The 27,788-nt window shown below is 41.5% G+C and overlaps 2 protein-coding genes across 14 annotated transcripts in view, besides 5 other annotated features; one reads left to right on the top strand and one right to left on the bottom strand.

The window, feature by feature from the left end:
* Positions 1-22,403, bottom strand: part of USO1 (USO1 vesicle transport factor) — an 89,710-nt gene extending 67,307 nt beyond the window's left edge. For all 4 annotated transcript variants that reach the window (NM_001290049.2, XM_006714397.4, XM_006714396.5 and 1 more), the window contains exon 1: positions 22,095-22,403. In NM_001290049.2, the coding sequence (NP_001276978.1) occupies positions 22,095-22,160 (66 nt within the window). In that variant the 5' untranslated portion in view covers positions 22,161-22,403. The remainder of the gene's footprint in view (positions 1-22,094) is intronic.
* Positions 21,373-22,292: an enhancer, noted in NCBI's record as "NANOG-H3K27ac-H3K4me1 hESC enhancer chr4:76649872-76650791 (GRCh37/hg19 assembly coordinates)". NCBI's record gives its function as "activates a minimal SCP1, AML or CMV promoter by ChIP-STARR-seq in primed H9 embryonic stem cells {active_cell/tissue: H9 hESC(primed)}" and the evidence as "EXISTENCE:reporter gene assay evidence [ECO:0000049][PMID:30033119]".
* Positions 21,935-22,112: a silencer, noted in NCBI's record as "fragment chr4:76650052-76650229 (GRCh37/hg19 assembly coordinates)". NCBI's record gives its function as "represses an EF-1alpha promoter that drives an FKBP-Casp9 reporter gene in an ReSE screen in phorbol 12-myristate 13-acetate-treated (for megakaryocytic differentiation) K562 erythroleukemia cells {active_cell/tissue: K562(+PMA)}" and the evidence as "EXISTENCE:reporter gene assay evidence [ECO:0000049][PMID:32094911]".
* Positions 22,197-22,276: an enhancer, noted in NCBI's record as "active region_21622". NCBI's record gives its function as "activates an Ori minimal core promoter by ATAC-STARR-seq in GM12878 lymphoblastoid cells {active_cell/tissue: GM12878}" and the evidence as "EXISTENCE:reporter gene assay evidence [ECO:0000049][PMID:35858748]".
* Positions 22,293-23,213: an enhancer, noted in NCBI's record as "NANOG-H3K27ac-H3K4me1 hESC enhancer chr4:76648951-76649871 (GRCh37/hg19 assembly coordinates)". NCBI's record gives its function as "activates a minimal SCP1, AML or CMV promoter by ChIP-STARR-seq in primed H9 embryonic stem cells {active_cell/tissue: H9 hESC(primed)}" and the evidence as "EXISTENCE:reporter gene assay evidence [ECO:0000049][PMID:30033119]".
* Positions 22,447-22,616: a silencer, noted in NCBI's record as "silent region_15482". NCBI's record gives its function as "represses an Ori minimal core promoter by ATAC-STARR-seq in GM12878 lymphoblastoid cells {active_cell/tissue: GM12878}" and the evidence as "EXISTENCE:reporter gene assay evidence [ECO:0000049][PMID:35858748]".
* G3BP2 (G3BP stress granule assembly factor 2) overlaps positions 22,543-27,788 on the top strand; it is an 81,652-nt gene continuing 76,406 nt past the window's right edge. For 6 of the 10 annotated variants that reach the window (NM_001400016.1, NM_001400005.1, NM_001400013.1 and 3 more), the window contains exons 1-2: positions 22,543-22,704; positions 22,804-22,924. The gene's annotated coding sequence lies outside the window, so the exon portion shown is untranslated. The remainder of the gene's footprint in view (positions 22,705-22,803; positions 22,925-27,788) is intronic. The other 4 variants (NM_001400017.1, NM_001400004.1, NM_001400014.1 and 1 more) reach the window with 1 other exon arrangement.

Raw genomic sequence — 27,788 nt, 5'->3', positions numbered from 1 at the left:
ATTATTACCAAGCTTATGACTTCTTTGTATTTTTCTTCCTTGTATTATTCTTCTATCCTATCAGGCTTTTGGCTATCATTTCCATCATATATACCTTTAATGGACCATTCAAATATTGCAGATTTAAATTTGCTACTGAGCGAGGTACTAAATAATTAAGTTGAATAGTAATATGTCTATACCCCAAAATTACTCAAGCTTGAAATCAAGATTGAGAACACGGACTATGCAACTTATACTTTTGCTACCTTGAGGCCTTATTACCTCCTAACAATATTCCAGATAGTTGAAGTTTCTGAAAAAGTGATCTCTCTATAAGAAAGCATTATGTTTGCTATTTACAGACAACTGAAGCCAAATGAAAGGAAAACATATTACTTATGTTCCAAACCCTACAAAGACCTAGTCATGTTTTAGTCTATACACAAGTCTATATTTTTCTGTTGATATTTACCAAACAAAAATTCTGTACAAAAGTACGCTTAGTTTCTACTCAGAAATTGTAGATCTCAAAACTATTATTCCATTTATTTCCTACTTGAAAAACCAACTCAGTGCAGTATAATTGTGCCACATTGTCCATTCTATCCTTCTTCCTTTCAGTTACTAGACGTCTCTGTGCTTTAGCTGGGCACATGACTGTCCACCTATATCCTATTTTCAGGCTTTCCTTGCAGCTAGGCATGGACAGAAACTATAATACATTCTGGCCAATGAGTTGTGAGTATCTTTAAGTTCACGTCCCTAAAGGAAGCTACTTGTTCTTCATTGCTCTTTCTCCTTCCCTTGGCCTAGAACTTAGGCTGGTGGTTATTAGGTGCCTTTAACAATTCAAACTACAGCAAGAGGGAGGGGACAGGAAGATGGCAGAATAAGATAAAAAGCAGGACCTGGTCCCCTGGACCACCTAAGGAACAGAACTACATACCGTAGGGATTATCTACTAGCTTGGACTTTTATCAGACAAAGACATAAATTTTTATCTTGGTTAGACTTCTGTTTCCTGGCCTGTGTTACAGCGGCTGAAACAATGCCCAAACTAATAAACTGTTTTTTTCGTTTTTTTTTTATTTTTTATTTGACACGGAGTCTCACTCTGTCGCCTAGGCTGGAGTGCAGTGGTACAATTTCAGCTCACTGCAACCTCTGCCTCCTGGATTCAAGCGATTCTCTCACCTCAGCCTCCTGAGTAGTTGGGATTACAAACATGTGCCACTACGTCCGGCTAATTTTTGTAATTTTAGTAGAAACGGGGTTTCACCCTGTTGGCCAGGCTGGTCTTGAACTCCTGACCTCAGGTGATCCACCAACCTCAGCCTCCCAAAGTGCTGGAATTACAGGTGTGAGCCACTGCGCCTGGCTACAAACTAATAAACTCTTTATAAGGAAGAAATGAAGGCTCAGAAACATAGCAGTGCACCCCAAAATACACTACCAGTTTGGGAGCAGAGTCTAGATCCTAACCGAGCTATAGATGTATCACTCCAAAGTCCATACTCTTTCTCCTATGTAGAGAAATATGAGTCAGAGTATCTGTTGCGAACTACAGGGACTGCAAGAATTTTTTTTTAGTAACAAAGGAACATAGTAATACAGTCCCTGTGAATAGCTCCACTTGCACAACTGTCTACTAAACACCCTGACAAGCCTTTGACTAAACTGCCCAGCCAGGGCAGTTCCTTGTTCTAAGGAAATGAAAGCCTCAATTTGGGAAAGTTATAATCAGAAGCTACTAACTGAAAAATATCAGTACTATATATATATATAAAAAAGAAAGATTCCAAGGATTAATATACTCACTTTTAAGAATTAAACTAGCTGAGATAATAAGGACAAGGTGGAGTGGGGAGATTAAAGATAGAAAGAACAGGGCAGCTCATTACTATAACAGATAAAATAAGGTCAAAGAAGGCATTAATGTGATGGCAGTGGGCAAAGATTTGAAGGGATAAGGGAGAAGGTAAGGGAATAACGGAAAGACCTAAATTTAAGAGGCTTGGGGTCCTAAAAAATAAGACATCTGGAACAGTCACTGTTTGGAATTCAACTTCTAGAAATTTGTTTTAGAGCAATATATGCACATGTACCATCACAAGTACAGTAACAAATACTGCAGCAATAGAAAACAAAACACATCGGAAGTATCTTAATGTCCATTCATGGGGGCCTTTTACTTTTCATTTTATACACTTACACAGCATTTATTTAAACAATCATGTATTCAGATATTACTTTTATAATAAAAAACAAAAAGGATAGGGGCTGGGCGCGGTGGCTTACGCCTCTAATCCCAGCACTTTGGGAGGCCAAGGCAGGCAGATCACCTGAGGTCAGGAGTTCAAGACCAGCCTGCCCAAAATGGTGAAACCTTGTCTCTACTAAAAATACAAAAAAGAGCTGGGTGTGATGGTGGGTGCCTGTAATCTCAGCTACTCGGGAGTCTGAGGCACGAGAACTGCTTGAACCTGAGAGGCGGAGGTTGCAGTGAGCCAAGATCACACCACTGCACTCTGGCCTGGGCGACAGAGTGAGACTCCGTCTCAAAATAATAATTATTATAGAATCAAAAAACAGCAGTGAATAAGCCAGCTGAAGTCTGATATCATGAATGAGCCATCATCCTTCCGTATCTCAGTATATACTCTGGGGTTTAGGAAAGTTAAAGGTCAAAGGAATAATACAGTCTGAAGAATTTATTGTGGTAACCCTGAGGCTGGTAATCCATTCATTTGTTCAACAAATACTAGAGTGCTGCCACACTTATGGGGGGGCCAAGAACAGTGCAACCTGAAGCAGTGGTTTATAATAAACTAACTTCAGAAATAGAGACTAAGCATTTAGAAACCTCTATAGACAATGGATACTTTTATGGCTGTTGGATCTAATAAAAAAAAGAAAAACAGGGGCGAGGCACAGTGGCTCATGCCTGTAATCCCAGCACTTTGGGAGGCCATGGCGGGCGGATCATGAGGTCAGGAGATCCAGACTATCCTGGCTAACACGGTGAAACCCCATCTCTACTAAAAATACAAAAAATTAGCCGGCCGTGGTGGCGGGCGCCTGTAGTCCCAGCTACTTGGGAGGCTGAGGCAGGAGAATGGCGTGAATCCAGGAGGCGGAGCTTGCAGTGAGCCAAGATCGCGCCACTGCACTCCAGCCTAGGTGACAGAGCGAGACTCTGTCTCAAAAAAAAGGGCTTGTATGTGATGTCATTTTTTCTAGTAATTGATTTTTATTGTATTTTATAACAAAATGTATTTACTGGCCTATGATGAAATTTGAAAAACAAACTAAAAAATCAACTGGTCCTTCACTACAGACAGTCTGGGAAACACCGTTCAAGTACTTAACATTTTGCAAGGCACTGGTCTACGCTGGGAAAATAGCAGAGAACCAGTACAGAAGGTACCTATTCTAATGAAACTATAATGGCAAAGAGACAGAATATATTAAAAACAAGTAAGACAAACACAGAAAGTGAGGGAAGTGAGACCGTGACTGAGTGAAGGTGCTACTTTGGACAGCACAGCCAGGCAGAGGGGCCTTAGAGAAACACAATTTTGGATACAGATGGAAGTGTGAGTAAGGGTAACAAGAATGAAGCAAAAAGAAGAGTAGGAAAACCGACTCAATGAGTATGTTACCATCAGAAGGAAAAACAATTTAATTGTACAGTTAAAAGATAACACTTATTCGGCCAGGCATGGTGGCTCACGCTTGTAATCCCAGCACTTTGGGAGGCCGACACGGGTGGATCACGAGGTCAGGAGATCGTGACCATCCTGGCTAACACGGTGAAACCCTGTCTCTACTAAAAATACAAGAAAATTAGCCAGGCATGGTGGTGGGTGCCTGTAGTCCCAGCCACTCGGGAGGCTGAGGCAGGAGAATGGCTTGAACCCGGGAGGTGGAGCCTGCAGTGAGCCGAGATCGTGCCACTGCACTCCAGCCTGGGCAACTGAGCGAGACTCTGTCTCAAAAAAAAAAAAAAAAAGATATGCTTATTCACTTTCCCAGATGGGATCCTGAAGCAGGCTTTGTTGCTGGAACCTCATTCTCTTGGAAACCGACCAAAGAAGACGATTAGTAGTTTTAAGCAAAATTCATAAACTCACTGGTCATCTGAAGTCACAAACTCTTATCTTAGTTCTCAACACTCTCATCTACATGATAGGAAAGTTGGGAAGGATGTAAAACATTTAGATATCAGATTTTAATGTAATCTAGCACCTTATCAATTAGTGATCAAAAGAGGGAGTTACAACACAGAAGAAATTGATCCACTCTATTTTCATGAGAAAGTCAGAAATGTTTGCCCCTAGGCCTTTTAACAAAGTATTTCTTATCTCAGCATACTACCAAGGCACACATTTCAACCATTCTGTACTTGAAACAAGTAACTTTTCCAAAATTTCACCATCTGAATAACACATATGTAAATACAGTGAAGATAGGTAAGATTACAGAATAGAAAAGTGTTAACAAGAAACAAATGCCTCAGCCTATTTGTTTGAAACAAATCTCCAAAACCCACTGTTAAAAATTTTAAAATACGCATGGCCTACGTAACGACATTCAAGTCAACAATGGACCACTGCACAGACGTCCCATATGATGATAATGGAAATGCAAAATTCCTATCACCTACCGATGTCCTAGCCTTAGCACAACACATTACTCATGTGTTTGTGGTGATGCTGGTGTAAACAAACCCACTGCACTGCCAGGCTTATGAAAGTATGGCACAGACAATTGTGTACAGTACATAATACTTGATAACAGTAACAAATGACTGTTACTTGTTTATGTATTTACTATATTATACTTTTAATGGTTATGTTAGAGTGTACTTCTACTCACAAAAAATAAAAGTTAACTGTAAAACAGCCTCAGGCAGGTCCTTCAAGAAGTATTCCAGAAGAAGGCATTATTATTATAGGAGTTGACAGCTCTATTGCATGTTACTGCCCCTGAAGACCTTCCAGTGGAACAAGAGATGAGGGTAGAAGACAGTGATATTGATGACCCTGCCCTGTGTAGGCCTAGGCTAACAGGTGTTTGTGTCTTAGTTTTTAACAAAAAAGTGGCCGGGCATGGTAGCTCACGCCTATAATCCCAGCACTTTGGGAGGCCGAATCACCTGAGGTCAGGAGTTCAACACCAGCCTGGCCAACATGGTGAAACCCCATCTCTACAAAAATGGAAAAATTAGCCAGGCATGATGGCAGGTGCCTGTAATCCCAGCTACTCGAGAGGCTGAGGCGGGAGAATTACTTGAGCTTGGGAGGCGGAGGTTGCAGTGAGCCGATATTGCGCCATTGCACTTCAGCCTGGCTGACAGAGCGAGACTGTCTCAAAAAAAAAAAAAAAAAAAAAAAGTTTAAAAAGTAAAAATTTTAAAATAGGAAAAAGCTTATAGAAGAAGGATATAGAAGAAAAATATCGTACAATGTGTTTGTGTTTTAAACTAAGCATTATTACAGAAAGCTTTAAAAAAAGTTTAAAACTTTATGAAGTTAAAAAGTTATAGTAAACTAAGGTCAATTACTGAAGAAAATTTTAAAAAATGAATTTAGTGTAGCCTTAAGTGTATAGTGTTTATAAAGTATACTTTACATAATGTCCTTGGTCTTCACATTCATTCACCACTCACTCACTTGACTCATCCAGAGCAACTTCTGGTCCTGCAAGCTCTATTCATGATTAAGCGACCTATATAGGCATACTATTTACTATCTTTTATGCCACATTTTACTGTAGATGCATAGATACACAAATATTTACCATTGTTATAATTGCCTACAGTATTCATTACAGTAACACGCTGTACAGGTTTATGGCCCAAGAGCAATAGGCTACACCATACAGCCTAGGTGAATAGTAGGCTATACTATCTAGGTTTGCTTTAAGTACACTCTAGGATGTTTGCACAACAAAACTGCCTAATAATGCATTTCTCAGAATTTAGCCCCGACACTGAGCTACCAAGAACTATCACAGTTACAGATTTTTATAAAGAAACTCATTTGTGTAAATATATATATTGGTAAATACAAAAGACAACACTGTAGAAGGATGTACACCAAACTTTACTAGAGATTACTTCGAGTGATGCGAAGTAAGACTGTGAAGGAAGAAAGAGGCAATTTTAGACTACATACTGATTTGGATTATTTACAGCAAGCATATTTCCATTATTGCTTCAATAAATAAAGAGAAAAAAATTAAAGAAATTTCCATATTAGATCTTGCTTTTATTACCTACTCTAAAATACCACCTGATTGACTATTCACCTGGTTTATGAATATAACTGTTTGTTGCTATTTACAGTAGCTATGTTTTATAAAGTTACCATGAAAACTGAATTAGTGAATACTAAACCACTGCTCCTAGGCCAGGCGCAGTAGCTCATGTCTGTAATCTCAGAGTTCTGGGAGGCCGAAAAGGAGGACTGCTTGAAGCCAGGAATTTGTGATCAGCCTGGGCAACACAGCTAGATCCTGTCTTTATAAGAAATTTAAAAATTAACCAGGCATGTTGGCGAGTGCCTGTAGTCCTAGCTACTCAGGAGGCTGAGGCAGGAGGATCACTTGAGCCCAGTAGTTTGAGACTGCAGTGAGCCACAGTCGTGCCACTGAACTCCAGACTGGGTAACAGAGTGAGACTCCATCTCTAAAAACAAAACCCACTGGTCCTAGAGAAAATACAGGGTTAGTTTCCCGCAAGCCTCTGATCACATTTTCATCAACTGATCAATATAAAACCTTTTATGTGTATTTCTGTTTAAAGACACCTTTTTAAAATTTTTTTAGAGATGAGGTGTCACTATGTTGCCCAGGCTGATCTTGAACTAATGAGCTCAAGTGGTCCTCCTGCCTCTGTCTTCCAAAGTGCTAGGATTACATGTGTGAGCTACTGCATGTGGCCAAAGACATCTTATTTAATATACATCCTTGACCATTAATATTGATCTCATGGCCAACAGCACTATAACACATGCCTCAGTGATGCTTACATAATATACATATCACCTCTGTAAGGAACATCACAGCCTTCTTGTGCTTAGGAACACCAGACAACACTACACGGGGTCTATTTTTAATAGGGAAATCCCAAACAAAACAATACAAAGATGAGGCTGGGTGTGGTGGCTCACGCCTGTAATCCCAGCACTTTGGGAAGCTGAGGTGGATCACTTGAGGTCAGGAGTTCGAGACCAGCCTGGCCAACATGGTGAAACCCTGTCTCTACTAAAAATACAAAAACTAGCTGAGTGTGGTGGAGCATGACTGTAAACCCAGCTACTCAGGAGGGTGAGGCAGGAGAATCACTTAAACTCGGGAGGCGGAGGCAGAGCTTGCAGTGAGCCGAGATCACGCCACTGCACTCCACCCTGGGCAACAGAGTCAGACTCTGTCTCAAAAAAAAAAAAAAAAAAAAGAAAAAGATAAAATACAAAAATGCAAAAAGCATAACACTAAACAGACCATGAAAGGACACACTTACAGCATGAGAACTGAAACAAGAAGGCAAAGCATCACCTTCTTTGACCTCAATTGGAGATGTGTATGTTGGGAGAATCAAATTTTTCACTGCTGTACCATCTACAAATAACCATAAAGTGCTCAAAGTACTGATTTGTGCGATACAAATATATTTTAGTGAGTAGGTGAATTTGCAAGTAAGAAATTGACAAATAATGAGGATGGACTGTCCCTTAAATATAATCTTTTAAAGTAAAATTCATTATCTGCAAAATGGAAAGATAAAGTAGAATAACTCTAAGGTTACTTAACGCTCAAAATTTACAACACTTTAAAAAAACTTGGCTGGGCTCAGTGGCTCACGCCTGTAATCTCAGCACTTTGGGAGGACGAGGCGGGCGGATCACGAGGTCAGGAGTTTGAGACCAGCCTGGCGAACCTGGTGAAACCCTGTCTCTACTAAAGTTACAAAAAATTAGCTGGGCATGGTGGCGGGCACCTGTAATCCCAGCTACTCGGGAGGCTGAGGCAGGAGAATCGCTTGAACCCGGGAAGTGGAGGTTGCAGTGAGCCCAGTTTGCACCATTGCACTCCAGCCTGGGCAACAGGGTGAGACTCCAAAAAAATAAACCAAACAAAACAAACAAACAAAAAAACACTTGGCCAGTCAGGTCTGACAGAACTTAAAGGATAAAAAAATATATATATATACTTGGCCCGGCACAGTGACTCTCACCTGTAATCCCAACACTTTGGGGACCTAAGCCAGGAAGATTGCTTGAGCCCAGGAGTTCAAGAACAGCCTGGGCAACATGGCGAAACCCCTATCTCCATTAAAAATTTTTAAAAATTAGCCAAGCATTGTGTTGTACACCTGTGGTCACAGCTACTCAGGAGGCTGACGTGGGAGGATTGCTTAAAGCCAGGAGGTTGAAGCCACTGTAACCCATGTTTACGCCACTGCACTCCAACCTGCAAGACAGAGTGAGATCCTGTCTCAAAACAAACAAACAAAAAAAGACTTAATTTTTTTTTTTTGAGACGAAGTCTCACTCTGTCATCCAGGCTGGAGTGCAATGGAGTGATCTCGGCTCACTGCAACCTCCGCCTCCCAGGTTCCAGCAATCCTCCTGCCTCAGCCTCCCAAGCAGCTAGGCTTACATGCATGTGCCACCATGCCCAGCTAATTTTTATATTATTAGTAGAGATGGGGTTTGACCATGTTGGCCAGGCTGGTCTTGAACTCCTGACCTTGGATGATCCACTGGCTTTGGCCTCCCAAAGTGCTGGGATTACAGGCATGACCTACTGTGCCTGGCCCCCAACTTAATATTATAGAATTTTAAAAAATAATAGTGTATTAGCCAGGCCCAATGACTCATACCTATAATCCCAGCACTCTGGGAGGCCAAGGCAGGCAGATCACAAGGTCAGGAGTTCGAGACCAGCCTGGCCAACATGGTGAAACTCTGTCTCTACTAAAAATACAAAAGTGAAAAATTGGCTGGGTGTGATGGCACATGCCCGTGATCCCAGCTACTCAGGAGGCTGAGGCAGGAGAATCGCTTGAACCTGGGAGGTGGAGGTTGCAGTGAGCCGAGATCACGCCACTACACTCCAGCCTCGGTGACAGAGCAAGATTCTGACTCAAAATAACAATAATAATAATAATAATAATGTATTATATTTACTATATTATTTGAAAAATCTATTTGACTCATACAGCATTTAAAATAAATTTTAAGCCAGCATTTAAAAATCCAGATTTCTATGTTTTCTTCACTGTTCTTTTTTTAGAGCCAGGATCTTCTTGCTCTGCTGTACAGGCTGGAGTGCAGTGGCACTATTCATAGCTCACTATATCCTTGAACTCCTGAGCTCAAGCAATTTTCCCACCTCAGTCTAACAAGTAGCTGGGACTACACGCATGCAACACAGAGCTCAGCTCAAATTTGTATCTTTTCTTGAAAAACATCAGCCTGACAGCTAATGGTAGCTAACACTCTTATTTTGTACAATTTAAGAAGCCATCAATTTTAAGACCCCCCATCTTTTTAATGAAATCACGAAGAAAAAAGAAATACCCCCAGTTATAATTACAAGATGTATCCTGATTTCAAAGAGGTTTACATGCTAATGTGCATCTCAGAATTGGTAAAATGTGGTATCTATGCCAATTACTATGTGCTAACTCTGTCCTAATGTGTTTTACATTTTGAAATTCATTTAATCTTCACAAAAACAGTAAGATAGGCAATATTACTATTTATATTTTAGAGATGAGGAAACAGAGGCACAGTGGTTAAGTAACTCGTCCACATTTATAAAGTAAGTAGTGAGATAGCATTCAGCCAAGTAGTTTGAGTGCTTTCCCACTACATTAAATTGGTTCTCTGGGCCAACATTTCATGAGGCAATAACTGGCTGGATTTGAGCACTAGCCACATCCTCAAATCAGGATATGCAGGCTCGAGTAACATCCCAAACCTCTGCCTTCTCTATGACCTGACCAGCTACATTGAACCTCCCCAACTGGACTTTGAATTTGTGACCCTTGTGTTAAACAACAGAATACTATATATTAACAAAAGTGAAAAAGAAACATATATGAGTACAATTTAGCCCACTGTTTTATTTAGAAGGACCAGAAAGGAATGACAGTAGAAAAAAGAGACAGTTTGACTAATCTATATTATGCTAACTAGGTATTAGGTGCTCTGAGAAACATAATAATGAATAAGACATGGATTCTATTATCAAGAAGCTTTTACAGTTTATTAGAAGAGACTTTAGTGTAATTAACAAAAGTAACTGAAAATCTGGTATTTTAAAGTACCTCTGTATGTTTTAACATGGAAAGATCTCCAAACACATCAATGAAAAAGGTAAGCTGGCCAGGCGCGGTGGCCCACGCCTGTAGTCCCAGAACTTTGGTAGGCCAAGGTGGGTGGATCACATGAGGTCAGGAGTTCGAGACCAGCCTGGGCAACATGGTGAAACCCCATTTCTACTGAAAATACAAAAATTAGCCAGGCCTGTAATCCCAGCTACTCGGGAGGTGGAGGCAGAGAATTGCTTGAACCCAGGAGGCGGAGGTGAGCTGAGAACCCAGTGAGCTGAAATTGCGCCAGCCTGGGTGACAGAATGAGGCTTTGCCTCAAAAAAAAAAAAAAAAAAAAAAAAAAAAGGTAAGCTGTAGAACACAATAAACAGTATACCATTTATGTAAATAAGAATAAATATGCTAATACAAATATATATTTGTATATTACACAGAGGCATGATTACGTATAAAGGTCTGGAAGGATTTATGCCAAACTAGTAATAGTGGTTATCTCTGGAAAGAGAACTGAAATTGGTGACAGGAGTAAAGAGAACTTAAACTTTACTCATTTTGTCTGCCATTTTGTAAAATCAAAAAATGATAATTGCTACATGATGTTCACAATTTCACTTACCAAGGGAAACATGAAAATGACAAACAATCCATTTAACAACTGGTAAATTGGGCATAATCAGAATTATAGTCTAACAACTGGTCAATTAAAAAAAACATTTTTTGCTAGCCAATAGGGCTATTTATTTATATTCATTGCTACACAAAGATGACCAAAAAAGACACAATGGGAACAGGAGTGACTAGGAAAGAAAAAACTGAGATGAGGAATGTGAAAATGAAAAACTACTGGCTGGGTGCAGGGGCTCATGGCTGCAATCCCAGCACTTTGAGAGGATCACTTGAGTCCAGGAATTCAAGACCAGCCTGGGCAACATAGCAAGACCCTGTCTCTACAAGAAAATTAAAAATCAGCCAAGCGTGGTGCCTTGTACCTGTAGTCCCAGCTACTTAGGAGGCTGAGGTGGGAAGGTTGCTTGAGTATAGGAGGTTGAGGCTGAAGTGAGACGTGATCACACCACTGCACTCCAGCCTGTTCAACAGAGTGAGACCCTGTTTCCAAAAAAAGAAAAACTATCAAAAGATTAAAAAGAAGACAGCATAGAACTAGGATGGTGAAAGTACACTTAAAATTTAAAGGAGGAAGTCCTAATCAGAGCAATCAGGCAAGAGAAAGAATTGACATCCGAATAGGAAAAAATGACAAACTATCTCTTTGCTAATAATATGATTCTAAACCTGGAAAACCCAACAGGTTCCACTAAAAGGCACCTAGAGCTGATAAACGACTTCAATAATGTTTCAGGATACAAAATCAATGTACAAAAATCAGTAGCATTTCTATACATCAATAACGTTCAAGCTGAGAGCCAAATCAAGAATGCAATCCCATTTACCCTAGACAGACAGACAGACACACACACACACCCCAAAACCTTGGAATACATCTAACCAAGGAGGTCTCTACAAAGAGAACTATAAAACATTGCTGAAAGAAATAATAGGTGATACAAACCACTGGAAAAACATCCCATGCTCATGGATCAAAGAATCAATATTGTTAAAATGGGGCCAGGTATGGTGGCTCATGTCTGTAATCCCAGCACTTTGGGAGGCTGAGGCGGGTGGATCACTTGAGGCAAGGAGTTTGAAACCAGCCTGGCCAATATGGTGAAACCCTGTTTCTACTAAAAATACAAAAATTGGCTGGGTGTGGTGGTGGGTGCCTGTAATCCCAGCTACTTGGGAGGCTGAGGCAGGAGAATCACTTGAACCCGGGAGACAGAGGTTGCAGTGAGCTGAGATTGTGCCACTGCACCCCAGCCTGGGCAACAGAGCAAGGCTCTAATTCAAAAAAAAAAAAAAAAAAAAAAAAAAAAGCCATACTGCCCAAAGCAATCTACAGATTCAACGCTATTCCTATCAAACTACCAATGTCATTTTTCACAGAATTAGAACAAACTATTCTAAAATTCATATGGAACCAAAAGAGCCTGAACAGCCAAAGCAATCCTAAGCAAAAAGAACAAAGCTGGAAAAATCACACTACCCCACTTCAAACTATACTACAAAGCTACACTAACCAAAACAGCCTATTACAGACATGGAGCAATGGAACAGGATAGAGAACCCAAAACTAAAGCCACACACCTACAACCATCTGATCTTTGACAAAATTGACAGTAACAAGCAATGGAGAAAGGACTACCTATCCAATAAATGGTGCTGGGATAACTGGATAGCCTTATGCAGAAGAATGAAACTGGGCCCTTACCTTTTACCATATACAAAAATTAACTCAAGATGGATTAAAGACATAAATATAAGACCTAAAACTATAAAAAGCCGAGAAGAGGCTGGGCATGGTGGCTTACGCCTGTAATCCCAGCACTTTGGGAGGTCAAGGTGGGAGGATCACGAGGTCAGGAGATCGAGACCATCCTGGCCAACATGGTGAAACCCTGTCTCTACTAAAAATACAAAAATTATCTGGGTGTGGTGGTGTGCATCTGTAGTCCCAGCTACTTGGGAGGCTGAAGCAGGAGAATCGCTTGAATCCGGGAGGCAGAGGTTGCAGTGAGCCAATCGCACCATTGCACTCACTCCAGCCTGGGTGACAGGGCCAGACTCCTACTCAAAAAAAAAAAAAAAAAAAAAAAAAATCCTCGAAGAAAATCTAGGAGATATCATCCTGGACATTGGCCTTGGCAAAGAATTTATGACTAAGTGCCCAAAAGCAATTGTGACAAAAACAAAAATTGACAAGTGGGACCTAATTATACTAAAGAGCTTCTGCACAGCAAAAGAAACTATCAACAGAGTAAACAAACAACTTATAACCTGGGAGAAAACATCTGCAAACCATGCATCTGACAAAGGTCTAATATTCAGAATCTGTAAGGAACTTAATTCAACAGGCAAAAACCAAAAACTCTTAAAAAATGGGCAAAGGACATGAACAGACACTTCTCCAAACAATACATATACATAGGCAAGAAATATATGGAAAAATGTTCCACACCACTAAATCATCTGACAAATGCAAGTCAAAACCACAGTGAAATACCATCTCCCACCAGTCAGAATGACTATTATTAAAAAGACAAAACAAACAAACAAAAAACAGATGTTAGAGAGGTTATAGAGAAAAGGGAATGCTATATACTGTTGGTGGGAATGTAATTTTAGTTCAGTCACTGTAGAGAGCAGTTGGGATATCTCTCAAAGAACTTAAAACAGAACTACCATTCGACCCAGCAGTCTCACTACTGTATTTTTTCAACAAATATTTGTCATGCAGCTAATACAGACTTAATTTATTTTTTTTAATTTTTTTTTTGAGACAGAGTCTCACTGTGTTGCCCAGGCTGGACTGCAGTGGCGTGATCTCGGCTCACTGCAACCTCTGCCTCCTGGGTTCAAGCTATTCTCCTGCCTCAGCCTCCCAAGTAGCTGGGACTACAGGTGCCCGCCACCACGCCCGGCTAATTTTTGTATTTGTAGTAGAGACGGGGTTTCACCATATTGGCCAGGCTGGTCTCGAACTCCTGACCTTGTAATCTGCCCGCCTCGGCCTCCCAAAGTGCTAAGATTATAGGCATGAGCCACCGCACCCGGCCCTACAGACGTGATTTTATGATATAACCTTACCTTCATGAAGCTTAAAACATTCCTAAAACAGAACTCCCCCAACTATGACTTTTTTTTTTTTTTTTTTTTTTAGATGGAATCTCGCTCTGTCGCCAGGCTGGAGTGCAGTGGCGCGATCTTGGCTCACTGCAACCTCCAACTCCCTGGTTCAAGTGATTCTCCTGCCTCAGCTTCCCAAGTAGCTGGGATTACAGGCACAGGTGCCACCATGCCCAGCTAATTTTTGTATTTTTAGTAGAGACGGGGTTTCACCATGTTGGCCAGGATGGTCTTGATCTCCTCACCTCGTGATCTGCCCGCCTCAGCCTCCCAAAGTGCTGGGATTACAGGCTTGAGCCACTGCGTCCAGTAACTATGACTATTTATTGTAAGACTAAAATAATCCATGCTAATAGTCATTTCAATTATAATGTTTTTAATGAAATAAGGGAAAATAAAGAAAAATAAATCATTCTATCAAAAAGCCATATGCACTTGCATATTCACTGGAGCACTATTCACAACTGCAAAGATGTGGAGTCAACCTAGGTGTCCATCAATAGTGGACTGGATAAAGAAAATGCAGTACATATATGCCATGGAATACTATGTCGACATGAAAAAGAATAAAATCATGCCCTTTGCAGCAACATAGATGCAGCTGGTAGCCATTATCCTAAGCGAATTAATATAGGAACAGAAAACCAAATACTGCATTTCCTCACTTACAAGTGGGAGCTAAACAATGAGTAAGCACGGACCTAAAGATGGGAGCAGTCAACACTGGGGACAACAACGGGGGGAAGGTGGGAGAGGGGGCGAGAGTTAAGAAACTACCCATCAGGTACCATCCTCACTACCTGGGTGATGGTTATACATCAAACCTTAGCAACAGGCAATTTACCCATGTAACAACTTGCACATGTAACCTTCTAAAACTTTAAAGTTATGGGGAAAAAATATTGTTTAGAGAAATGTTTATTTTCATAAACACATTTGCTTATGAAACAATACTAATTTACGTTTAATCGTTTATAAAAATATAAAAGCAAAAAAATTAAAGGACACTAGTGTAATACAGCTTGCAGTATTTTTTCACAATTCTTTTTTTTAAGTATTCAGTAACTACTTAACTGACAGGAAAAAATAAAGAACAGGAATGGCAATTAAAATGCTAACTCTAATCAATCAATCATTTATCCAACAAATATTTGTCAAGCACCTAATATTGATTTAATTTTATGATATAATCTTACCTTGAAATTTAAAACATAGTTGTACCTTCCTAAAACAGAATTTCCCTAACTGTAAGACAAATAATTCATGCTAATAGTCAATTCACTTATGTTTTAGATGAAATAAAAATATTATTGTTTTAGATTACAAAAGTCATTTTTTTTTTTTTTTGAGACGGAGTCTCACTCCATTGCCCAGGCTAGAGTGCAGTGGTGCGATCTTGGCTCATTGTAACCTCCACCTCGTGGGTTCAAGTGATTCTCCTGCCTCAGCCTCCCTAGTAGCTGGGATTACAGGCACCTGCCACCATGTCCAGCTAATTTTTGTATTTTTAGCAGAGACAGGGTTTCGTCATGTTGGCCAGGCTGGTCTCAAACTCCTGACCTCAGGTGATCCACCCGCCTCAGCCTACCAAAGTGCTGGGATTACAGGCGTGAGCCACCAGGCCTGGCCCAGAAATTTGTTTTAAATTTAACTCTGTTACTGAGAAGACTTTATTAAAACAGCAAAAGCAAATCTTATCTTCATATGACCTAAATTATTATAATCTATAAAAAGAGATGTGGGAACATTAAAAAATCAAACACAAGTCTCTTTGTAGACAAATCCAATGAATCCATTTCCATTATAGTTACCTTAAGTCAGCCAAGTAATATACTGCTTCATTTATTCTCCATGCTCTTTCCCATAAATGAACTATGCTTTTCAAAAGGACATCGTTTTAAGCAAGGGGTCATAATGAAACATGTCTACCAAATAACCTATCACAAATGCTAGCATCTCAAAATCTAACACCACAAAAGTTTTTCTGTAATCCCAGCACTTTGGGAAGCTGACAGGAGGATTGTTTGAGGCCAGGAGTTCAAGACCAGCCTGGGCAACATATTGTGAGCCTGTCTCTTTAAAAAAAAAAAAAAGTTTTCAAATTAATGGTGAATAACTTTTGACACAAAAAATGTTTATGGCACTTCTGCTTGAGGTATAAAAATAATAAGCATAACTTTACTATACCTACAACAGACAAAAAGCAGAGTACAAAGCAGTAATATTAATAATAAAAGGTAAATACATAAAAAGAAAGAGGAACAGTATTTGGTATCAACAAATGTATATAAGGAATTCTAATATTCTTTCCTAATCAGATTCAAGAGTAATGTTTTTAATGAAATAAAGGAAAATAAAGAAAAAGGCATCAGAATTATATATCCTCTTGGACAATTTTTCCCTAAGTATGCTTCTCAAAATAATAGATAACAAAGTTCCCTAGAGGAAAAAAAAAGGTCTGGTCAGATAAATTTGGCAAACAGCTTACTTTTTATCTACATTTTAAAAATATCTGAAACTATAACACAGTGCCTGCTTACAAAACCTTGCATAAATACTAGAGGTTTTTTCTTTGTTAGTGGTCGTTGCACACACTTCTTTGCTGACAAAATTTTTTTCATGGACATCTATTCAAATTTTTTGAAGCATACCTTGGTAATGCTACGGCATGTATAATTTAAATGATTCTAACTTTTAAATGAACCCTATATAATCTACAAAATTAACCTTCCAAAAAGCCATGTAGTATTCAATAGGCCCTACTTAAAAAGAGTGCTTCGATATAGAAATGACCAAAACACAAATCATTATTACAGTTCTCTCCGACATTGTTATTGCAAAACAGGCCAAGAGAGAAAACACATTCCAGTTATGACATTGACCTGGTTATTAATGTAGAATACATCAACCCAAATAGGAATTTCAGACTACACATTTATAGTAACATGGTATAAAATGTGCTTGACTAAACGAAAACTATGTCTAAATTTAAGTCCACACTCTTTAATAACAATTTTTATTAAAAGAAAATATGGCTGTGTTTATATTGTTAGCCCTTCTGCTTTCTGAGACAGCTGATGAAAGTTTGATCTGGAAAGAGACCCCATAACAATGTTCTAATTCTGTATGCTTTTTCTGGACATTAGCAACTTTCATGTCTCGGGGTCCAACTTGAGAACAGAAAATGCCTCTATGATTCATCATCAAATGTAGTTAACACTTGCTTGGAATTTTCAAGAAACTAGCTTTAAAAAAGGTACAAGTTGGGGGCTGGGCGCAGTGGCTCACGCCTATAATCCTAGCACTTTGAGAGGCCGAGGCGGGCAGACTGCCTGAGCTCAGGAGTTCAAGACCAGCCTGGGCATCACAGTGCAACCCTGTCTCTACTAAAATACAAAAAAATTAGCCTGGCGTGGTGGCGTGCACCTGTAGTCCCAGCTGCTCGGGAGACTGAGCCAGGAGAACTGCTTGAACCCAGGAGGCGGAGGCTGCAGTGAGCCGAGATTACGTCACTGCACTCCAGCCTGGGCGACAGAGCGAGACTTCGTACCCCACCCCCCTACCCAAAAAAAAGGTGCTAGATAGAAGGCAGATATAACACTAAGCACACATAAGCTTACATTCAAAAGCATGAAGTCCCTGGTGGTCTAGTGGTTAGGGAAAAAGAGAAAACTAAAAAACAAAAGCATGAGTAGGATTTGTACTATAATAATATGCACCCAGCAAACTGTGTCAAGGCTAAAGAGGCTTCAATCACCAGAAATCAGTGTCAAGTAAAAAAGAGAAATGAAATGTAAAAGTACCCGACTCTGGGGCCAGGTGCCGTGGCTCACACCTGTAATTCCAGCACTTTGGGAGGCCAAGGCAGGCGGATCACGAAGTCAGGAGATCGAGACCATCCTGGTTAACACGGTGAAACCCCATCTCCACTAAAAATACAAAAATTAGCCGGTGTGGTGGCAGACACCTGTAGTCCCAGCTACTTGGGAGGCTGAGGCAGAAGAATGGCGTGAACCCGGGAGGGGGAGCTTGCAGTGAGCCAAGATTGCGCCACTGCACTCCAGCCTGGGCCACAGAGCGAGACTCTGTCTCAAAACAAAACAAAACAAAAACAAAAACAAAAGTACATGACTCTAAAACAGAAAAAGTTTAATGTGGATGAAATTCTGAATTTAAAATATCCAGTACTTTATAGAATTGACTATCCTATGATAAAATATTTACTACTTGACAGGTTCTCAAGAACATCTTTCTTTTTGAGACAGTCTCGCTCTCTCGCCCAGGCTGGAATGCAGTGGCACAATCTTAACCACTCAGTGGTTGCTCACTGCCAACCACCGCCTCGATTCTCCTGCCTCAGCCTCCTGAGTAGCTGAGATTATAGGCATGTGCCACCATGCCCAGCTAATTTTTGTATTTTTAGTAGAGACAGGGTTTCACCATAAAAATGTGCTTGACTCCAGAAAGGAGTTTGGCCAGGCTGGTCTCAAACTCCTGACCTCAAGTGCTCCATCTGCCTTGGCCTCCCAAAGTGCTGGGATTATAGGCGTGAGCCCCCGGCCTGAAGAACATCTTAATATCAGTCCAAAGTTACTCTTAACTAAGAGTATGAAAAGCTAGATACTATACAATCAATCACATAACTCTCACACATTTAAAAGATACTTAAATTCAATAAGAAAAAAAAAAACAAGAAAGCAGTCAAAGCATTTAGTAAATATGAAAAAATCCCTTAAGTAAAAAGCTTGACACAATGAACTTCATTTGAGAACTTCAGTTTCTAGTCTTTAAAAAGTGTTTTAGTACCTAGTAACGTAAGTTGCTATAATTACAGATCTGTGATTTCTTTCAAATAAAACTATAATTAATTCATTTCACAAGTATTTACTGGGCATCTACTACTGTGGAAAAACAAAGATTAAAATACATTATGAACCCTGCCCTAAAGACACTTTAAGAGTCTAGAAGGAATAAGATATATGCACACTGTAGTTAAAATGTAAAGGTAGCTCAGAAAGGAAAAAGCATCTGAAACGTGCTGGGGGAAAGTACAGATTAGGGGAGGCGCTGATGATGAATTTAAATAACAGGTCTAATTCAGACAAAGAAAAGAGCCCTTCCATTGGAAAAAAGATGTTAGAAAAAGCAAGAAAGATGGAAAGCCACCATGAAAAAAATTTAATTTTGCAGAAATGGAAAAAACTACAAAATAATAAATGATAATATAGAAGCTAGGGGTTCCAAGCTCTGGTAACTCAAATATCCTGGCCAGACTAAATCATCAATTAAAACATCTAAAATTGTATATACACTCCACTGATGCTCTATAAATACTTCTAAATTAGTAATCCATGACCCCTTTTACCTGTTGTACTTCCTGGTGGAACGAAATAGTGAAACAAATTTTATTCATACTGTACCTCAGAATAATAATTTTCAGAAGGCAAATTGCTTTATTGTGGAGGTGATTAAAAAGAAAAAATAGAAGACAAATTACTTTTCCAATTTTAAATGTACATACTCAAAGTTAGGCAAGAACAAGAAAGGACCCTTTCAGTTTATATATACAACATACGCAAGTGATACTCAAGTTTCACTTTGAAATTGTGATATAAAAACTATGTTGTTCCATCCACAGTGGCAAGATCAAAATGTTCTAGCTCCAACTCTTCAACCTTGTGCAAGCTACTTTAGTGCTCTGTGACTATAAAATGAAGAGGCTCTATCTGGGACTTTCTAGCTTTAAAATCCTATACACTGTGAATTCTATTCCATCTTTTCTACAGAAGTCACTGTGACAAGGCCAATAATAACAAAAACAGGAAAGGGTATTCTTCGTTCAACCCACACATAGTAAAAATTACCTCTCATTATACATCTACTAAGTGCCAGGCTCTTTCTACTTATTTCACTTAATCTTCATTACATCCTAAAAAGCAGGCATTTTCCTCATTTTACTTAGAGGGTATTAGCTATCTCTTACATATCCAATCCAATCAGGGGTGGAAAGCCAGGATTCAAATCAAAGTCTAACTCCACAAAGCAAGCTGTAATAAACCATATTTCATAACCTGGTGCCACAAACACAAATATCAGACAAAAAAGTGGTGGGCTGTGATTATGGTATGACTCTGGTAATCTAGACAGAACATGATCTTCTAGTAGGGTAGCTCAGGCTGCCTTGTTGCCAAGTGGGAATGGATGAGTGAAGCCAAATGTGTGCGTGTGTTACAGTGAGAGACAGAAAAGTGATTTTCAAATGAAAGAAACAGATTTACCGGCTTTCATCTTATGCTTTAAACAATTCTAACCAGACCTGCGCAGTTATTTTTTTTTTTTTTGAGATGGAGTCTCTTCATGCTGCCCAGGCTAGTCTCAAACTCCTGGGCTCAAGCGATCCTCCTGGCTTAGCATCCCCTTAGCTGGGATTATAGGCCTGTGTCACTGCGACTAGCTGCAGTTAATTTTAGTAATACTATATAAAGTTCCCAAAAAGTATTGAAATACAGGCATGAGCAATAAAGTGAAGGCTTTGAAGTAAGGTACCTCTTGGTTGAATCCTGGCTCTATTATTAGCAGTGTGACATTGGTCAAGTTACTTCACCCCTTTTTTTTTTTTTTTTTTTTGAGACAGAGTTTCGCTCTTGTTGCCCAGGCTAGAGTGCAATGGCACGATCTCTGCTCACCGTAACCTCCGCCTCCCGAGTTCAAGCGATTCTCCTGCCTCAGCCTTCCGAGTGGCTGGGATTACAGGCATGTGCCACCACGGCCGGCTAATTCTGTATTTTTAGTAGAGACGGGGTTTCTCCATGTTGGTCAGGCTGGTCTCGAACTCCCGACCTCAGGTGATCCGCCGGCCTCAGCCTCCCAAAGTGCTGGGATTAGAGGCGTGAGCCACCGCGTCCGGCCTACTTCACCCCTCTCAGTCTCATTTTTTGACTTTTAAGGTGAGAATACTCTCACCTATCTTGCAGGGTAGTTAACGATTAAAGCATAATGTGGAATATAAAGAGCTCAGCACAGAACCTAGCACAAGGTAAGAGCCTGACAAATGAAAGCTACTATATTATCCCTCAGGATCCCATTAACAAAGTTAGCCATTAAAGTGTTATACTTAGTCTCTTTTATGTAGATCTAAAATTCTTCTCAAATAAAAAGTTTATTTCAAAAAGGCATACACCCTCGATTCCATTAAACACTAACCAAACTTCAAAATAAGTGTATTCTAAACCTAGAATCTAAGCAACTATTAAATAATGTTTTCAGCGGCTAACCATTTTTTTTTTTTTTTAAATAACGCCGCAAATCATGTCATTAGGAGTTCAGGCAGAAAGCGGTGGACGTGTCCCCAAAGCAGTTTGAGCGCTTAAGATCCCTACTACGTTCAAGGTAGCATTTGCCAAATGATATATATTTGGGTGAGCCCGAAAAGCCGGATCTGAACAAATAACACCAGGCAGAACGACCGCTCTTCCAGTTGATGGGACAGGAGCAGGTGGATTTGTCCTTCAAAGAATATCGTTTTATTCTTAGCCAAATGCTCTCACCAACAGCTGGGTTTTAAACCTTCTCGCAGTTTTCCCCAACGCCCCAGTTTCAGACTGCGAGGGAGGGAGCAGGACTTCAGGCTCCTCTCGGCCAGTGCAGACGAGCGAAAGAGAAAGAGGGAGGGGCCCACGGCCCCGAGGGGCGTGGGAGGCAGTTCGGGCCAGCTCGGCCGCGCATCCGTCCCTTCCCGTGCGGTACCACCTGCGGACCACTCTCCTAGCCCGAGCTTCAGGGCCTACAGAGCTGCGGGGCGCGGCCGCCGTCAGTCCGGCCGAACGGCAGCAATGGGGACTGAGCTGGGGGCGTGATTGAATAACTCTGGGATTTCAGGAGCGGAAGGAGGGCAAAGGGGGAGGCGGCATGTGGATGCCCCCTCCATGGTGGGACGCTGGAGGTGACCTTCGGGTCTCCGAGTGCTCCGTCCCCGTCCCTGCCCGGACCCCTTCCCAAGTCCCAGACCCGCTGCTCCTCTCACCGTCTCGGCTTCTGTGTGCTGGGGTCCGGCACTCTGACCCCCCATTACCCCGCGGAGGAAATTCATCTTGCCGTTCAGCCACCAGGTTTACCGGCCCCTCCGGAAAAAAAAGAAGACAACTTCCCCCGCCCTCCGCAGGGCCTGGGCCCCAATCCCGCACTCTACACACTCCTACTGCTGCCACCACCGCCTCCAACTCGGCGGCCACTCCAGCCCTCTAAGCCCGGAAACAGCCGCCAGCAGCGGCCAAGATGCGCATGCGCGGGGACGTGGCATTACGTGGCGGCTCGAAGGTTGAAGGCAAAAGGGGAGCGGAGGCGAGAGGAACCTCTTAGCTAGGTTCCGCCGAAGCCCCACCCACTGCGCAGACCCCGCCTCCCACCGCAGGGGCACGCCTCCTACCCCCACCCTTCGCGGATTGATCCTGCTGGCCGCAGCCACCCACGTGGTGGAAGCCCGGCCCTGCAGGCTGGAGAGGATTTGATTAGACTACGCGTTTCGACTTGCAGGGTGTTTAATCGTCGCCAAGCGGGACTTACTGCAAGCTATCAAATCTGAGGTCTTATTTTGTTGAGTCGAAAGTGAAATTTTCCTTTGGCCAACGTGACAGGTAAGGCTTCCTGGCGCCTGAGAGGGTTCGCTTGGTTTGACGGTTTACTGGTACCAGCATTGTGGCTTTCTGATCCCGGTAAATTGCATTTCTTTACAGGGCTTTGTTTGGTGGTAAAAAGGGTTACTAGACACCCCTCATTCCACTGCCACTGGAGGGCGCATTTCTCAGCTCTTGCTCTTCAAACCTGCTGAAAGGAATTCCTAGATCTAAACACCAGGTACACCTCTATTTTCAAGTGTCGTCAGGAGGAAACCCATCAAACCCTACATTTAGCTTACTAGAGAAATACATTGTTCTGCTGTGTCAGTTTGGCGAGTAACATAATGTTTCGTTATTAACTCTCAACCCCTGTGTTTTCAGTTTTTTTTTTTTTAACATGAAAAATTGTCATTTTCTCTAATTGGTATGCCTGTTCCTTTGGCAGTGAGGTTGTCAGTACACATGCTTCTGGAATAGTCTTGTAAATTTCTTGAGGCTAAAAAGCACAGGTCTAGTTAGCTAACTGACTCATGCACCTCTCCCCTTGGATTCCCCACAGGTCTCAGATTCAGCATTTAAAATTGAACTCGTCATCTTTCCCTGCCTCCCTTAAAGAAAAAAAGTCAATATGCTGCTTCTACTGTGTGCGTGCCGTGCTCAGTAGTACCACTGTCCAAATAATTGCCTAAGCTAGACAGAGGAAGCTGGGAAGAATCTTAGACTCTGGCTTTCCACCCACACATGTCCAATCAATAGTCATGTCCTATCATTTCTATTTATAGAATATTTCTCAAATAGGTGTTCTGCTCTCCATCCTCTGTGCCTGTGACATAGATTATGTTCTTCTCATCATTTCTCATTGAGATGACAGCAACAGCCTCCTAATTAGTTTGTCTGCATTCAGCCCTGGCTTCCTTCCAGTCCAATCTCCAGTCCATCCTTGGGTGAGACTAACAACAACAAAACATCTGTTCATGTCATTCCTCTTAAAATCCTCCAGTTGTTCCCCATTCTGTCCAGAATAAAGTGCAAACTCCTTAGTTTGTCATACAGGCCTGTTATGATTTAGCTCCTGCCTACTTTTTCAGCTCCTGCCTCCCCCACATACTCTGGGCATTTTTCTCAGACCTGGATATGCCCTTCCCTTCCTTTCTCTTCATCAAGCAAACTCCTGCTAATTCCTTAAGGCTCAACTCTGACATCATTCTTGAAAGCTTTCCCTAAAATGTAGGTACACATCTATATGTTAGCACTTTGCAGTTATTGATACTGTATATGGTGTACATTGAATAAATGCTTGCTAAACCAAACTGTTAAGGGCAGGACTATGTTATTCATTTTATATCTCTGTTGCTTACCACTGTCTCATAAAAGGTGATATTGATGGATAAATGAATAAATTATTGAAAGAATATATGAATATTATACTAAGAGGAGGTTCCCTTTTTTTAATCTGTAAAGTGAAATTGTAGGGAAGACATCATAAGCTATGTGTTTCCTAGTGCCAACATTTTAAGCCTGGGCAACTTGGAGAATGGTGGGGTCATACTGCCAAAAATACTGTGCGCTAAGCATTGTCCTCTGCTTTAAAGCTATACACTTGACATTTTACCGTAGACATTTTCCATGGGAGCATTTTGTTGCAGCCTAAAAAAAGTAACCAGTAAATTACTCAGCATTTTTGTTACTAAGAAATGCATGCAAAGAACTTCACTTAAGCCCCTAAGCCTCACCCCTCCCTGAACCTCACTTCACCTTGTCCCTGAAACTCACTCTACCCCATCATCAGGAATGAGGCTCATAGACGGAGTGGGCCACAAATGTCTATTACTCCTCTTATTTAATAATTAAAAAGAGTGCCTTGACATTTTAGCAAAGTTGTTTAAAGGCACCAGCCTTGTCAAATGTCCTGTTTTGTTTTAAACTTTGGTGGGTACAGTAGGTTACTGTACTTCAGTGAGTAAAGTAGGTTACTATACTTTCGTGAGTGTAGTAGTAACAGCTTACTATGAATTTTCCCTGCATTTGACCTGTTTTCTTCCCCAGCAGCATCCCCTGCACAGGAGTGATGGACAGTTGGGTGCAAAGGTGATGAAGGTGGGATCCCCGAGGCATTGTCACTACAGAACAACCATGAAATAGACTCCTTATTTCAGAGGAAGAGTTACATATTAATCCACTTCTACTGATTTTGTAGAGGGAGAAAAGTCAGGGACTGTGTTGTATTCCTGTTTGCATCCTTTAATCATCTAGTATAATTCCTTTAATATGGTAGATGCTCAGGAACTACCTGAGTTAATAAAGGAAGAGAAAACTTGAACAAATTGTGACGGCCTGACTTGCACTGTTAATACTTCTGGCTTTCATAAATCTAAGCATTCAGGATAAGAGTCCTATGAATCATTAAAATACATATAATCAAAATTAAGAGTGATCTTTTTCTAAACCAAACCTGACAATAGATCAACGAACAAAATTCATTGGTTTGAAATTCATTTTTTCAAATTGCTTTTTTCAGTGGCCCACTTAACTTTCTAGTGGAAAACTCGCAAAAACAACGAAATATAATTGCATAAGATTGTTTTTTAGTTGGGGTGGTAGTAAGGTGGAATGTTGTCTATGCCTGCTTGGGAGGATAAATATAAATGATCATTTGTATTTGAAATCTATCATATATAGGTTTTTATTTATTTATTATTTTGGTAGGTTATAAGCCCCTTCAGTATCGTATATAGGTTTTTAAAGACGTAGCTCATGGCTATAATCCCAGCACTTTGGGAGGCCAAGGTGGGAGGATCATTTAAGCTCAGGAGTTCAACACCAGCCTGGGCAATGTGGCAAAACCCTGTCTCTACAAAAAATAAAATATTAGCTGAGCATGGTGGCATGCGCCTGTATTCCCAGCCAGTAGTCCCACTTACTTGGGAGGGTGTGGGAGGATCGCTGGAGCCTGGGAGATCAAGGCTGCATTGAGCCATGATTGTGCCACTGCATTCCAGCTGGGAGGATGGAGTGAGACCCTGTCCCAAAAAAAAAAAAAAAAGACTAGTTGAGGCTGGGCGAGGTGGCTCACGCCTGTAATCCCAGCACTTTGGGAGGCTGAGGTGGACGGATCACCTGAAGTTGGGAGTTCCAGACCAGCCTGACCAACATGGAGAAACCCCGTTGTCTACTAAAAATACAAAATTAGCTCGGCGTGGTGGCACATACATCCTGGAACTCCTGGGTTCAAGAGCTCTTCCTGCCTCAGCCTCCTGAGTAGCTAGGACTACAGGTGCACACCATCATGCCTGGCTAATTTTTTTTTTTTTTTTTTTTTTGTAGAGATGAAGTCTTGCTATGTTACCCAGACTGATGTCAAACTCCCGGCCTCAAGCTATTCTCCTGCCTCAGCCTCCCAAAATACTGGGATTGCAGGTGTGAGCCAACTGCCCCAGGCTTCAAAATATTTTTATTTATTTATTTATTTATTTATTTATTTATTTATTTATTTATTTTGAGATGGAGCCTCGCTCTGTCACCCAGGCTGGAGTGTAGTGGCGCGATCTCGGCTCACTGCAACCTCGGCCTCCCGGGTTCAAGCGATTCTCCTGCCTCAGCCTTCCAAGTAGCTGGGAATAGAGGCACATGCCACCATGCCTGGCTAATTTTTTGTATTTTTAGTAGAGACAGGTTTTCACCGTGTTAGTTAGGATGGCCTCGATCTCCTGACCTTATGATCCGCCTGCCTCAGCCTCTCAAAGTGCGTGAGCCACCGCGCCTAGCCCTCAAAATATTTTTTTTTTTTTTTTTGAGACGGAGTCTCGCTCTGTTGCCCAGGCTGGAGTGCAGTGACGCGATCTCAGCTCACTGCAAGCTCTGCCTCCTGGGTTCATGCCATTCTCCTGCCTCAGCCTCTGGAGTAGCTGGGACTACAGGCGCCCGCCACCGCGCCCGGCTAATTTTTTGTATTTTTGGTAGAGACGGAGTTTCTCCGTGGTCTCGATCTCCTCATCTCGTGATCCGCCCGCCTCGGCCTCCCAGAGTGCTGGGATTACAGGCATGAGCCACCGCGCCCGGCGCCCTCAAAATATTTTTAAAAGCCTTAGGAAATCCTTGGGAGAGGAGAGTCCAAGAAAGAAGGTTTTGGTAGCTGGGCGTGGTGGCCTATCATTCCAGCTATGCGCAGGAGGCTGAGGCATGAGAATTGCTTGAAGTTGCAGTGAGTCAAGATTGTGCCACTGCACTCCAGCCCAGGTGACGGAGTGAGACCCTTTCTCAAAAAAAAAAAAGGGTTCTGGGCCCCCCCATCCTGCTCCATTTGATTGGTTTCATTTGTTTATACTTCCTGTTTCGCTTGAACAAAAAGATTCAGAGGCTAAAATGTTGGACAGCTACCTCTCTCAGGAGATAAGAAATGAGACCAGGCCGGGCACGGTAACTCACCCTTGTAATCCCAGCACTTTGGGAGGCCGAGGCGGGTGGATCACCTGAGGTCGGGAGCTTGAGACCAGCCTGACCAACATGGAGAAATCCCGTCTCTACTAAAAATACAGAATTAGCCGAGCGTGGTGGTGCATGCCTGTAATCCTAGCTACTCGGGAGGCTGAGGCAGGAGAATCGCTTAAACTGGGAGGCGGAGGTTGCAGTGAGCCAGGATCTTGCCATTGCCCTCCAGCCTGCGCAACAAGAGCGAAACTCCGTCTCAAAAAAGAAATGAGACCAAGGTAAGGACTTGGAATAGTTGAGGTGTCTCACATGCTATAGAGCCCAGAGTTCCTGCTTTACTTTTTTTTAAAGGAATGGTAATTGTTGCCTCCTGTGGTTGTTTTTGGGATTTTATTAGATAATATCTGTAACGTTCATATTACTTAGTACTTGAAACATAGTAAGTACTCAATAATGATTAGAGTGGAGACCCTGATCATCTTCGGTATTATCAATTTCTTTTTTTTTTTTTTTTTTTTGAGACGGAGTCTTGCTCTGTCGCCCAGGCTGGAGTGCAGTGGCGGGATCTCGGCTCACTGCAAGCTCCGCCTCCCGGGTTCACACCATTCTCCTGCCTCAGCCTCCCAAGTAGCTGGGACTACAGGCGCCCGCCACTAAGCCCGGCTAATTTTTTG

The sequence above is a fragment of the Homo sapiens genome, chromosome 4 (assembly GCF_000001405.40).
Source record: "Homo sapiens chromosome 4, GRCh38.p14 Primary Assembly".
NCBI lineage: Eukaryota > Metazoa > Chordata > Mammalia > Primates > Hominidae > Homo > Homo sapiens.
The sequence above is the reverse complement of the archived record's forward strand: the minus strand, read 5'-3'. Positions and strand labels throughout refer to the sequence as shown.